Here is a 13,347-nt window from a genome sequence, read left to right on the forward strand (position 1 = left end):
GTCAGCATTTGTCCAGCCCTGCTGGAGAGCCACTAGGAGAGGCATCAGTCTCCAGTACAAATTAACAAACCGGCTGCTGGCTTATGTATCAGTTGCCTATGCATAGGGTCAGTATACTCACCCCCAGGCCTGAACAACTCTGGGTCCTCAGGAACCCTGAAGGTGTGACTGGCAAAGCTGAGGCCCTGGCTCGGGAGCTGCTTCCCTGAGAGGACTGCGCCTACAGCATCCTTGACATCTTTTCATAAACCAGCACAACTGTGAGTATGAGATATGGCTTGAAGATCCTACCTGCCCCCTTCTTATCTTTTAGAATTTCTTTGGTGAGGTACTAAGGGCAAACTGCATGCCAGGCACTTAGTGTATAAAATCTCCCCTGGTCTTCACGTCCATCCTGTGGATTAGCTGTAGCCTCAGAGAATGTGAGAAACACATCCTTGGACAGACCTGATGAGTGGCGGAGCTGGGATTTGAACCCCTGTGCTCTTAGCCATACCGCCATAGGGATTTGTGGAGGAAATCCCACTTTTGATGCTATAAGGCAGATTTGCCCTAAGAATATTTTTGATTCCGAAAAGTGTTCTCTAAACATTTTGATTTTTTTCCACACATTGTCTAAATATGGCTGATAAAAGTAAGAGGAAGAGGGAGATTCCAAACATAGGATACTTCAGGAAGGAGTCAAGGAGAAACTGCCACAAGGTAGCCCTGAGGCTAGCAGGTGGTTTGGGAGCAGCAAATACTATCCCAATGACAGAGGAGACAGCTGCGAAAGTTGCAAGGACATAGAAAGTAAACGACGTGATTTACAGTTTTCGCCTTTACAGCTCCTGCAGGAAAAGTGAACGCTCTGTTAAATACGCTCCCTGCCTTGTGCCTCAGGCATACTCTGTTCTTCCTTCAAGCTCCAGAGTGAATGTTACCCCCTCTAGGAAGCCTGTCTTGACTTCCCCAGTAGAACTAGTTTCTCCCCTTGGTGCGTTCCTAGCATCCACTCCTTGAGGGCAAGAACCATGCCTTCTTCTCTGAAGCCACATAGGTTGGATGCAAACCCTGGCTGTAAGACCTCAGGCAGGCAATGTAACCTTTCTGTTCCTCAGCCTCCTTATCTGTACAATGGGAATAATAGTGGCACCTACAGGCCTCGGTTGGTCATGGGCTTACATGAGAGAAGGAACACAGAGTGTTTAGCACAGGGCTGGGCACACACTGAGAAATATCAGTTTCATATATAGTGCCGGGCTTTGGCAGTGGTTGGAGGAGATGTTCATTCAGTGTTTGTGGAAGGAAGAAAAGATAAAGGGAGGAAAGGGAAGAGAGAGAGAAACACAGCAACTAGCTGTAGAGACCATCATGTACCAGGCAGCTCCCACCTGGTATTTTGGAGCCATGGCTGCCGTCCAGTTTTGCTAAGTACACATCCTGTCCCCTTAGGCCAAGACTTGGTACCTAGATTTCTAATTCCCCAGATGCCTAATCACGTGTGCTGTGTCTCTCTCAGCTCTGCAGCCAACAATGTCTCACCTGTCTGATCTCTCCCTGTTCTCAAATCAATAATCCTAAGTCACTGCCCTGGATCACACCTGTGTCAGGAGGTGGGCAGGCCAGGGAGCCCCCTGCCTCTCCCTCCTCACTCAGGGAAAATCAGCCTTGTTTCTCCCAACCTGGTTCACCTGGCGATGCATCCATTCAAGTGTAACCAGAAAAAGGCCACTGGCAGAGTCACATAAGAATCTGCACCGTGGGAGACAAAGTGAGGACCACAGGGTACAGTCACAGCACTGACAGCTGTCCTTGGACATTGTCTCTGGACGTCCTGTGCACCAGGGCTGTGCTAAGCACCTTTGCATACTTCCCCTGTGATAAGTCCATATTGCAACCTCAGGAGATGGAGAATCCTGCTACCTTCCTTTTACATGGGAGGAGCCTGAGGCTCCCAAGAGCTAGACCTGGGCTGTCTGATAAGGTACCCACATGCAACTCTTGAGCGTCTTAACTGTGGCTACTCCAAATTGGGGTATGCCATAGTGTGAAACAAAGAATGTAAACTGTGCCTTTCATAATTTTTATGTTAATCACATATTGAAATTATAATATTTTGGATTGACAGGTTAAGCAAAATATTGTTAAAATTAATATCATCTGTTTCTTTTTACTTTTCGAATGCAGATACCAGAAATTTTAAAATTAAATATGTAACTTGCATTGTATTTCTATTAGACACACTGGATTCAACAAAACCTAGATTGATCTATCTCCACAGCCTTGTTCTTCACTCCTGAGCAGAAATTTAACTTCCATGCTGATACTAAAGTTGTTCCCATATGTGATGGGAACCAAACACAAGTGTACCTGGGTTGGGCTTCTAGGGAAAGAGGAACTCTATTCTCTTTCTACAGGCAGGTGCAACTGTGCATGTATACATATGCTGGGAGTGCCATTGTTTTATGAATAAGGAAACAAAATGCTGTGTGGCACACCCAGTGTCACAGGCCCTCTTACCGTGCAGTGGAAGAGGTGGAATTTAAACCCAAGACTGCCTGACACCAAAGGCTGGACTCTTCCCCTGCTTCCTCTCCCAGGGCTCCCATACTCCACAGCCTAGGAGAAGGCCAGCTCAGGTTGTTTGAGACTGGGTTGAAACCCAGGTGCATAAGTGGTGGTGCACGATTTCCATGTTATTGGATCTTTTTATCTGTTTGAGTCCTGCCTTTTATTTTAGTTGCACTCATGGCCTTCACCTATATAAGTCTAATATATTCCTCAGGTCCCAGACCATTCTCCTCCTCTTTGTTCTGCATCCTCAGGCCCCAGATCCTTCTCAACCTCTTTCTGTACGTTGCTCAAGCTCAATGAATGTTTGTCTCCTCACTGGCTGAAGCTAAACCTTTGTTGTGCCCCAGAATCTGAATGTCTGGTTTCTGTACCCATTTTGCTAGTATCGTTCCTATTTGAAAACAATGCCTACAGCCCACATCCACAGAGCTGGGATCTTTAGATTTGGGTTTTTCAATCAATCCTCAAAAACTATTTCTCTCCAGAAATTAATTAGGGCTGTGCCTCAGTTAGTTTTATGTAGTTATAACAGAATATCAGAGACCAGGGAATTTATAATGAACAGAAATTACTTTGGCTCATGGTTTGGGGGGCTGGGAAGTCTAAGATCGAGGGGCTATACCTGCTGAGAGCCTTCATGCTACATCATAACATGGTGGAAGGCATCACACAGGTGAAAGGAAGAGAGAAGGGGACCAAACACATCCTTTTATCAGGAACTCACTTTCAAGATAATGGCATATTCCATTCATGAGGGTGGAGCCCTCATCAGGATAGGATAATCCTCTCAGCATTACACAATAGCCACCACTGTGTACCAGCAAGCACACAGAAGGATTCAGCAGTTCCTAAACTTATTTGAATGCAGAATCCTTGGACAGGGACAGGAAGGAAGAGAAGGGCTAGGAGTAGGGAGAGAGTTAGGGGGTGGTTACTCACCTCATGGACTAGGGCTTTATAGAATGCCCTTCATGATAACCTCTTCTAGAGGCTTCTTTCCCATTTTGTCTCTTTTCTCTCATGACAAACTACTGCTGATATGTGTTTTTTGTTGAAATACAGTTTTTAAAAGATAATTGTCTTTTGTATGGTCCCAATAAGTAGAACCTTTCTGAATCACAAATAGAAGCTAAAAAAAAAAAAAAAAAAAGAAGGCAAGAGTCCCAACCAATGTGTTGCCACCCACCTGCCCTTCAGTATCTTTCTTTTAGCAAGAGTATGGGGCTTTAGTCTCTTAATGAGCTTGCTTCCATACATATGCATAAAAGGAAGAATAGGCTTGAAATACAATGTGAGAACTTTTTATATCTCTTTGACTTTTTCCCCTTAAGTAAAGTCATTGTTTAAAAATAACTTAAATGATGATAAGTAGAACATTTTCCACCCAGATGGCCAAAGTGCTTAAGGAATCTCAACTGTGCTTCTGGCAGATGACTGTGGGGTTCAACTACCTCCCTGATCTAACAAGGGCTTTGCACACAGAGTGTCAGCCAGGAAGTCTGAATTCACCAAGCACCACTGGGACATAAGATAACTATTAGAGTGGCCAAGGAGACCTCCACAGCAAAGGTGTTAGGGGAGAGGGGGAGAATGGGACAGTCCTCCATATTCCTATTCAGGAGGGGACCTGCAAATCAGAATCTAATCATAAGAGCCTTGAACAAATGTTATGATTTCTCAGGAAACAGTTGGGAAACTTAAATTCATTTGTATGTACAGGTGGATATGAGGTTGCTCAAGGGTCTAAGGTTAGAATCATTGGGAAATGCTATCCAAAGTACTGACTTAGGAAAATCCAAGTTCAGAATTCAAGGTGAACTTGGTTAGCCCTTCCAGTTGTAACAAAACCGCTCAAGTCTGCCTTAAAGAGCCTTACAAGCCAGCCAGTCCCTGCAGCTCCACAAACTGACCCATCCTGGGCCTTGTTCTCCACAGAATGGGTCTGCTCCTTCCCCTGGCACTCTGCATCCTAGTCCTGTGCTGCGGAGCAATGTCTCCACCCCAGCTGGCCCTCAACCCCTCGGCTCTGCTCTCCCGGGGCTGCAATGACTCAGATGTGCTGGCAGTTGCAGGCTTTGCCCTGCGGGATATTAACAAAGACAGAAAGGATGGCTATGTGCTGAGACTCAACCGAGTGAACGACGCCCAGGAATACAGACGGGCAAGTAGGGACAGTTCCCACTCTGGGGCAGGGATGTGGGCAAGCTGGAGAGACTGGCCAGGGTGAGGGAACCCAGAGACACCCTGGCAGGTGTTTTCTGTATTGGAAGCCCTGCCGAGAACTCTCTGTTCTCCTCTGCCAGGGTCAGCAACAACGCACTTATTGTTAGTAAAAACAAGTGTTAACAGTGATCCTACTCTGACACTTGTGTCAGATTTAATGGTTTACGGGGAATCTTCACAAATATTCTTTGGCTTTGCCATAAAGCAGGGGTTTTTTTGTGTGGTCTTTCTAGGTTTCTACTTCCTGTGAAATGTATTGCATTTCTCTACCCCTTCCCACAGGGTGGCCTGGGATCTCTGTTCTATCTTACACTGGATGTGCTAGAGACTGACTGCCATGTGCTCAGAAAGAAGGCATGGCAAGACTGTGGAATGAGGATATTTTTTGAATCAGTGAGTGCTTGTTTTTATAAACCATTAAGGGCCCTAGGGAAAGCAAGTAGGTACACTCTTTCTACAGGGTCAAGGGTGCTCAATATCTGTCATCTTTTAAATGGCCCACTTTATAATCTCCTGGCAGGTGCCCATAAGCTTATTCTAATGCTCTAGACAGAACAAAGTTTAATTCATGAGAGGGGTTTCTGAGAAGTCCCATTGGGGTCATGCAGAACAGAATGGAAAAGTTGCCCCAAGTTGTGTTTTTACCTCCAAGACCTTCCGTTAGGCTCTGAACCAGTGTTTCAATTGTGAGAAAAAGACCTGAGGTGTGAATATTCTGGACGTGGGGTTAATGTAGACTGCAGAAGTGATGGAGGTAGAGCTTTGTCTATTTGTTTTATTTTGCTTTGTTTCAATAAACTCCGATGCCAGGTTTGAGGGGAGGAAAATGGATGACTTGCAGTATGAAAGCTCTCAAGGGCGCCGTGTAAGGATTTCCTGAAACCACAGAGCATAATAAAGGGCCTCAGAATTAATCTTCTAAAGATGATCATAGAAGAGACTTGAAAATAGATAATCCATTTCATTTCATTCTTAATTATCCTGGGATGATTTTCAGTAATTGATATAAAACTTTACAGTGTGAGTACAGAATAGTGATGTAAGTGTTTAGAAGAAAACTATTTGATCAAGATATTTTCCTAATCATGTAGCCAATTGGTCAAACTGTACCCAACTTGATTTTGAAAAGTGAATATCCTGTTGTGAATTATATTTGTTATGGTGACACTAGCTACTAAAACACAGACACAAAAACTGTATACTCACTCTAACATGATAGAAGTTCATTTCTCACGCATGTAAAGTTGAAAGTAGAAGTTCCTGATTAGATGGGTGCTTTGCTCCAGGGGTGATTTGAGACCCAAGTTTATTCCACACTCTGGCTCTAGACTCTGCAGCCTCAGCTCACGACTTCCATGGTTACCTGCTCATCTGCATCAAGCTGTGCACAGAGAAAGAGCATAGAGGACAGTGAGAACGTGGGAGACCCTTATGAGCCAGATCTGGAAATGGTTACACCTCACTTCTGCTCACCTTCCTGTGGTTAGAACTCAATTATACACAGTCACACGTGTTGGGGAGGCTTGGAAACATATTCTAGCTGTGTCCTAGGGAAAGGTTAAACAGTTTGATCATCAACTGCAGTTCCTCCCAGCCAAAACCACAGAATTTGATCTTAAGTTTCTAACTACTTTAAAAGAAAATGTCTGACTTTAATTTTGGAGGTATTTTAAAAGCTCATAGTTGCATTCGCTATGTCATAAAATGCATTTGTTGGTTTCAGGTTTATGGTCAATGCAAAGCAATATTTTATATGAACAACCCAAGTAGAGTTCTCTATTTAGCTGCTTATAACTGTACTCTTCGCCCAGGTAAGAAATCACTACGATTTTGTTAGTTTTAATAAAGGATGGAAAAGAGTACTTAACCAGGTCTTTGCCAAGAATGTATAGGGTATCTCTCATTCTTATTTTCTGTTTATTCTTAATGCCAGTTTCTTAATATTTCCAGTACTTACCTCCTTACTGAAATTCATACTATACTGCTCCTCTTCCCACAATTAATCTTACTAAACTACCTCTACATTTATATGCTGCATCAGATCTTACATTTTCAGTCTGACATAAATGGTATAATTTCTATGACTGTTCCCTCAGGCTTCCTTTCTTGCTATCTCTGCCATTATTTCCCAGACTACACCAACTCTTCACTCCATTCTACTGGATGCCACCCTGTTTTCTGAACATGCACTGCAATTTCCAGTCTCTGTGTCTTGCTTGTGCCTCTCCCTCTGCTGAGCATGCCCTCCCCTGATGACCTCTGACCTTGGGACACACCTATTCTTTAAGGACCAACACCACTTCTTCCACAGTGTTCTCTATTCTAGAAAGGAATGGTGCTTTTGTAATCTGCATTCCTATAAAATTTTGTCTAAACTACTCAGGGAACACATAATGCACTGCCTTGATTTGAGGGTCGCATATCTTACATCATGTAGAATAGTTTCTCCTTTCCTCCTCCTGCTGCACCCTTCCTCAGTTCCCACCAAGTAGAAGGTGTCAATAATGTTGTTAAGTAAATAATTGGACTAGAAATGAGGCTGAAACTTAATGACACTTGAAATATGCACATGCATTCATTTGGGACCTTCCTTTTTTCAAGGGAAGGTCTTTGGAAAGAGAGCATCCACAGTGCAGGAAAACAGAATTTGGTCCCCTGTCGAACAACTACGTGCGTGTCGCTCCCCTGGTGGATCCTGTGCAAGTGTAGATTCTGATTCCACAGGTCTTGGTCAGGACCTGAGATCCTGCATCTCTAATAAGCTCCAGGAGATAAGAATGCTGCTGGTTGCTTTGAATAACAAGGCAAGCGAGCAAACATTTTGTTAGGCACAGTTTAAGGTTCCTGGTTGTGAAGGCAAGATTCACAGAACAGCAAGTAGTAAACAGTCTCAGGACTTAAATGGAAGTCATAAGTATCAGAGCTATGGGAGGTCAGGAAGTGACAGGTGGTGATGATTCAGGAGTGACAAGCTGTAGCTGGAAGTCCCCCATTATCTCCACCAGTCCCCAAGTGCATGCAGATAAACACAAAATTTCTAAAAACAATGTGTTTGCTCTGCAAAAGCAGCTTCAAGATAAATTCTGTACCTTGACTTTCACACTAGGCTTATTGACCTCAGCTCCTCCCAAACAGAAATCTGACTGTACTTAATGTGATCATTCTACTCAGTCACACAGTGACTTGACCCATTTTGTTTTCTGGCTCACTTGCATTTTTCTTCTTAAAAAAATATTTAGTCTTATTTTTTATTGATAAATAATAGTTATACCTATTTATGGCATATATAGTGATATTTCCATATATATACTGTATTGTGATCGGATTAGGTTATTAGTATATCCATCATCTCAAACCTTTATCACTTCCTTGTGTCGGGAACATTCAATACCCTTCTAGCTATTTGAAATTTTATCTTATTGTTAACTGTAGTCATCCTACAGTGGTCCAGAACACTAGAATTTATCCCCCTATCTAGCTGTAATTTTGTATCCTTTGACAGATCTCACTTGCATTTCTAACCAAACGGGGTGCGCTTCTGCCTTCTACTATGCCATTCACTTATCCATTCATTCTACAAGCATTTACTAAGCACTGCCTATGTATCAGATATGATGTTCGGTGTTAGGAACTGAAAGGTAAATAAGATATTGCGGTAATGAAATCCCAATCTCTGAAGACAGTCTACTTTACAGGGTCAATAATGAGAAAAGATAGTGAACTAGTTGGAGGAAAAGGTCCTATTTTAATATACTATATTATGTGTCTTTGAACAAAATTCTCAGAGTAAATGTGTGTGAGGTGAAAACTTTGCTTTGTTCTGGTCTCTTTTTTAATTGTGAAAGTAATACATGGTCATTACAGAAAACACTGCTGACAGCTAACTTCTATTCCAGGGGTATATTCCAGAGGTAACTTCCTCACCCCATCCTTGCCTCTTTACAGTCATATGATTTATTGAAAATTAATAGCATTTAAAAACTTATGTTATTGGCATCAACAGTTTCAAAAAAAAAGATTTACATGACGTGCCCTGACTGCCCAAGCTCCATACCCACTGACTCTTCCAATCACCAAGTGCTGGAGGCTGCCACCGAGTCTCTTGCGAAATACAACAATGAGAACACATCCAAGCAGTATTCTCTCTTCAAAGTCACCAGGGCTTCTAGCCAGGTAAGGCTAAAACTGCCCAAGCCAGTTACACAGTGTGTCTCATAACTGTTGCTGTAGGTTCCTAAGCTGGGAGGAAAATGTCAAGGCACTCATTTTGATTAGAACCAAAATACCTTTCTCTACTTTCCCCACTTTGATAGACCTGATGCCCATTCTATCATGTTTCACTTTCTAAGTGATTCCATGGCATTTCTACAAGAGTCAGGCGGCTTGATTTTGCTTCCCTAACCTTAAGGCAAGAACAGAAATGAACTCCTAGTCTCCTTGGGGGATTATCCATACGTTCACCACTCACTGCTGTATTCTCAAATGTGACTGATCGTGGACCATTTTACAACATAACTTTTACTCTATTTTAAGACCAGAGTGGGTGTTGAATTTTATGGATTAGGGAAAATGAAGGCTCATTTGTATTTAGATTATGTTGATTTCTTTCCTTCTTTCTCTATTTCATTCTTTCTTTTTATTTTTTGAGACAGAGACACTCTGTCACCCAGGGTGGACTCAAGTAGTCCTCCTACCTCAGCCTCTCAAGTAGCTGAGACTCCAGGTGCATACCACCACACCTGGCTAATTTTATATTTTTTGTAGAGATTGGGTCTCACTATGTTGCACAGGCTGGTCTCAAACTCCTGGACTCAAAACAATCCACCCGCCTTGGCCTCCCAAAGTGCCAGGATTACAGGCATGAACCACTATACCTGGCCGATATTTCTTTCATAAGCAGAAAAATCTAAAAGACAATTCTACATGAGGAAAAATAAACAAATCAAAAGAAGGTGTTTAGGGCCCATTCAAATCTTTTTTTTTTTTTTTTTTTTTTTTGAGACGGAGTCTCACTCTATCGCTAGGATAGAGTGCTGTGGCGCGATCTTGGCTCACTGCAACCTCCAACTCCCTGGTTCAAGGGATTCTCCTGCCTCTGCCTCCCGAGTAGCTGGGATTACAGGCATGCGCCACCATGCCCAGCTAATTTTTGTATTTTTAGTAGAGATGGGGTTTCACTATGTTGGCCAGGATGGTCTTGATCTCCTGACCTCGTGATCCGCCCGCCTCGGCCTCCCAAAGTGCTGGGATTACAGGCGTAAGCCACCGTGCCCAGCCTCAAATCTTAAAGAAGAGAAGAAAGGTGTGAGATTATGTTTTCTTAATAACTAAATCATGGTACATGGTTTGATCAGTGTGGGGATTTGCGGAACAACAGATATGTGCCTTGACAATGCCTCTGGTGACATATTGTTTCTGTAGATATAACGCTGCCAAACCTGAGTCTTTTCCCTAGGCAGAAATGTTTGATTTTTATGTCTCAACTCTTGTCTCATAACAGTGGGTGGTCGGCCCTTCTTACTTTGTGGAATACTTAATTAAAGAATCACCATGTACTAAATCCCAGGCCAGCAGCTGTTCACTTCAGTCCTCCGACTCTGTGGTGAGTTTTCCTGAATGTCTTCATAATTTGAGTGTTCACAGATCATCTCTAAGTGTTTGTGGAGCATAAATTACATATGAGGTGTCATAAGGCATGAGATGCTTTTCTTCCCCTCAAGGAGCATCTGACTAGTTAGAGATTAGACAGATCCAGACTGCATTCAATTGTAAGTGCAACTTTCATCAGTAGTTGCAAAAGTGATTATATAGAGCTGTAAAATATAGACATCTCAGTGATGGGTAATGGCCCTGCTTCAGTCTAACACAATCCAATTACGTTTGTAATATAGCATGGTGTTCCATTCCTTGGACCACTCTTTAAGAAGGACAAAGTCAAATAGGCCTTCATTCAAAGAGGCATCCAAGAGGGAAAGTATGCCTTGAAGTCATCTGAAATACACCTGGTGGGAATTTAACTTGGCACAATGTGTTGGAGTGCAACTGGGCAAAATGCACCAAAATACTTTTCCTCTCATTTACTTACAGTAACAGCTTTATTAAGAAATAATTCATACGTTGTAAAATTCATCCATTTAAGGTGTACAGTTCAGTAGTTTTTAGTATGTTCACAGAGTTGTGCCACCATCACCACTTTCTTATTTTAGGATATTTTCATCAGCCTCAGAAGAAACCTCATGCCCACTAACAGTCATTCCCCATTGCCACCTTACCAAGCCCCTGGAAACCACTTACCTACTTTCTGTTTCTATGGCTTTGCCTATTCTGGACATTTCATATAAATAGAATCATACAGCATATGGTCTTTTGTATCTGGCTTCTTTCACTTAGCATAGTGTTCTCAAAGCTTCTCCATCTATAAATAAATGTAGTTTTACCTCTTTGCATAATTTATTATGCAAATAATATTTTATTGCATAGATATTGTTTATTGTTTATCCATCTATCAGTTGATAAACATTTGAGTTGTTTCCTGCTATGAACAAGTGTACAAGTTTTTATGTACACATATGTTTCCATTTCTCTCGAGTATATACCTCAGAGTGGAGTTTTTGTCATATGAAAAACAACAAAAAAATGCTCCATGTTTAACCCTTTCACTGCTATACTGTTTTCCACTGTGAATGCATCAGTTTTGCAATCCCATCAGCAATGTATGAGGGTTTCAATTTCTCCACATCTTTGCCAACACCTATTATGATCTTTCTTTTGGTTATAGCCATCCTACTGGGCATGAATTGGTACCTCATCATGATTTTTATTTGCATTTTCCTAATAACTAATGATGCTGAGCGTCTTTTAATGTGTTTATTATCCATTAGTATGTTTTCTTTGGAAAAATGTCTACATAAATCATTTGCCTACCTAAAATCCAGTTGCTTATCTTTTCATTGTTGAATAATAAGAGTCTTTACATATTCTAGATACAATGTCCTTATCAGATATATATTTTTAAGTATTTTTCTGTCATTCTCTGGGTTGTCTATTCACTTTCTTGACAACGTTCTTTGAAATACAGAAGTTTTAAATTTTGATGAAGTTCTATTTATATATATTTTTTCTTATTTTGAATATGCTTTTAATGTCATATCTAAGAAACCATTGCCTAATCCATAATCACCAAGATTTACATGTGTAAAAATGCAAGGGATCCAGAATGCCAAAATAATCTTGAACAACAACAACAACAAAAAAATAGGAAGACATACTTCCCAAACTCAAAACTTACTACAAAGGTACAGTACTTAAGACAGTGTCTTGGTGGTATAAGAATGATATGTAGATCAATAGAATAAAATTGAAAGTAAAGAAATAAGCCCCTATATGTAGGCCTATGACACATTTTGAGTTTTTGTACACGGTGTGAGGCAGGGAGTTCAACTTCATTCTTTTGCATGTGAACTTCCACTGTTTCCAGCACTATTTGTTAAAAAGACTATTCTTTCCCCCATGTAGTTGCCTTGGCATACTTCTTGAAGATCAATTGATCATAAATGTAAGAGTTTATTTCTTTAATCTCAATTTTATTCCATTGATCTACACTTCTAAGCTTATACTGGTATAACACTGTCTTGAATACTATATAACTTTGTAGTAAGTTTTGAGATTGGAACATTTAAATCCTCCTATTTTGTTCTTCTTGTTCAAGATTGCTTTGGGTATCCTGGATGCCTTGAATTCTCATGCTGATTTTAGGACCAGTTTGTCAATTTCTATTTTTAAAAAGGCAGTTGGAAATTTGATACATTTGATTGCATTGAATCTGTACATCAACGTTGAAAGTACTGTCATCTTAACAATATTAAGTTTTCAATTCCATGAATATGTGGTATCTTTCCATTTGTTTAGAACTCATTTAATTTCTTTCAACAAAGTTTTGTAGTTTTCAGTGTACAAAACTTTCATTTATTTTGGTCAATTTACTCTTCAAATATTTTGTTCTCTTTGATGCTTATGTAATGAAACTGTCTTCTTAATTTCATTTTTGGATTGTTCATTGAAAGTGTGTAGAAAGACGATTGATTTTTTATATTGATCTTATATATTATAACCTTGATGAACTCATTTATTAGTTTTAATAGTTTGCTAGTGGATTTCTTAGGATTTTCTATATGATCATGTCACCTGAAAAGAGATAGCTTTTTACTTCTCCCTTTTAAATCTGGATGCCACATGTGTTCCCAGCCTCTAGGGCTCACATGTTCAGCACACTTATAAAGTCCCTTTGTGATCCACTCCAGTGTCAGCGCCAGGTAGGCCTATGAACTTTGGTAGCTCAGCAAATCCTAGCTAGGGTGGGAGTGGCCAGATCTCCTTGGTGCAAGTACCTGCAGTTTCTCCAGAAGGTTCTCTGAGAGCCCCTCCTCTTTGTGACTTGGTGATGAAGAGAAGGAAAAGGCTGAAGCACCATTCCCCAGACACTTCATACTTTAATGGCTTTTCCCACTTTAAGGAATTTCTAGTCTTTTTTTCATATGCTCTGGAGCTGAGTGACAAAGTAATATTTAG

The 13,347-nt window shown here is 41.1% G+C and overlaps 1 protein-coding gene and 1 long non-coding RNA gene across 11 annotated transcripts in view; one reads left to right on the forward strand and one right to left on the reverse strand.

Annotated features, from left to right (window-relative positions):
- Positions 1-13,347, forward strand: part of FETUB (fetuin B) — a 17,173-nt gene continuing 3,826 nt past the window's right edge. The window contains exons 1-6 of one of the 9 annotated variants that reach the window (NM_001375587.2): positions 1-260; positions 4,492-4,717; positions 5,062-5,172; positions 6,503-6,590; positions 8,783-8,952; positions 10,280-10,381. In NM_001375587.2, the coding sequence (NP_001362516.1) occupies positions 4,493-4,717; positions 5,062-5,172; positions 6,503-6,590; positions 8,783-8,952; positions 10,280-10,381 (696 nt within the window). In that variant the 5' untranslated portion in view covers positions 1-260; position 4,492. Of the gene's footprint in view, positions 261-4,430; positions 4,722-5,061; positions 5,173-6,502; positions 6,591-8,782; positions 8,953-10,279; positions 10,382-13,347 lie in introns of those variants that run through there. The other 8 variants (NM_001375588.2, NM_014375.3, NM_001375591.2 and 5 more) reach the window with 8 other exon arrangements.
- Positions 5,541-13,347, reverse strand: part of HRG-AS1 (HRG and FETUB antisense RNA 1) — a 24,126-nt gene continuing 16,319 nt past the window's right edge. For both annotated transcript variants that reach the window (NR_187317.1, NR_187318.1), the window contains exons 2-3: positions 5,986-6,160; positions 5,541-5,655 (exon numbers count right to left, since the gene is read on the reverse strand). This is a non-coding gene — a long non-coding RNA (HRG and FETUB antisense RNA 1). The remainder of the gene's footprint in view (positions 5,656-5,985; positions 6,161-13,347) is intronic.

The sequence above is a fragment of the Homo sapiens genome, chromosome 3, assembly GCF_000001405.40.
Source record: "Homo sapiens chromosome 3, GRCh38.p14 Primary Assembly".
Classification (NCBI taxonomy): Eukaryota; Metazoa; Chordata; class Mammalia; order Primates; family Hominidae; genus Homo; species Homo sapiens.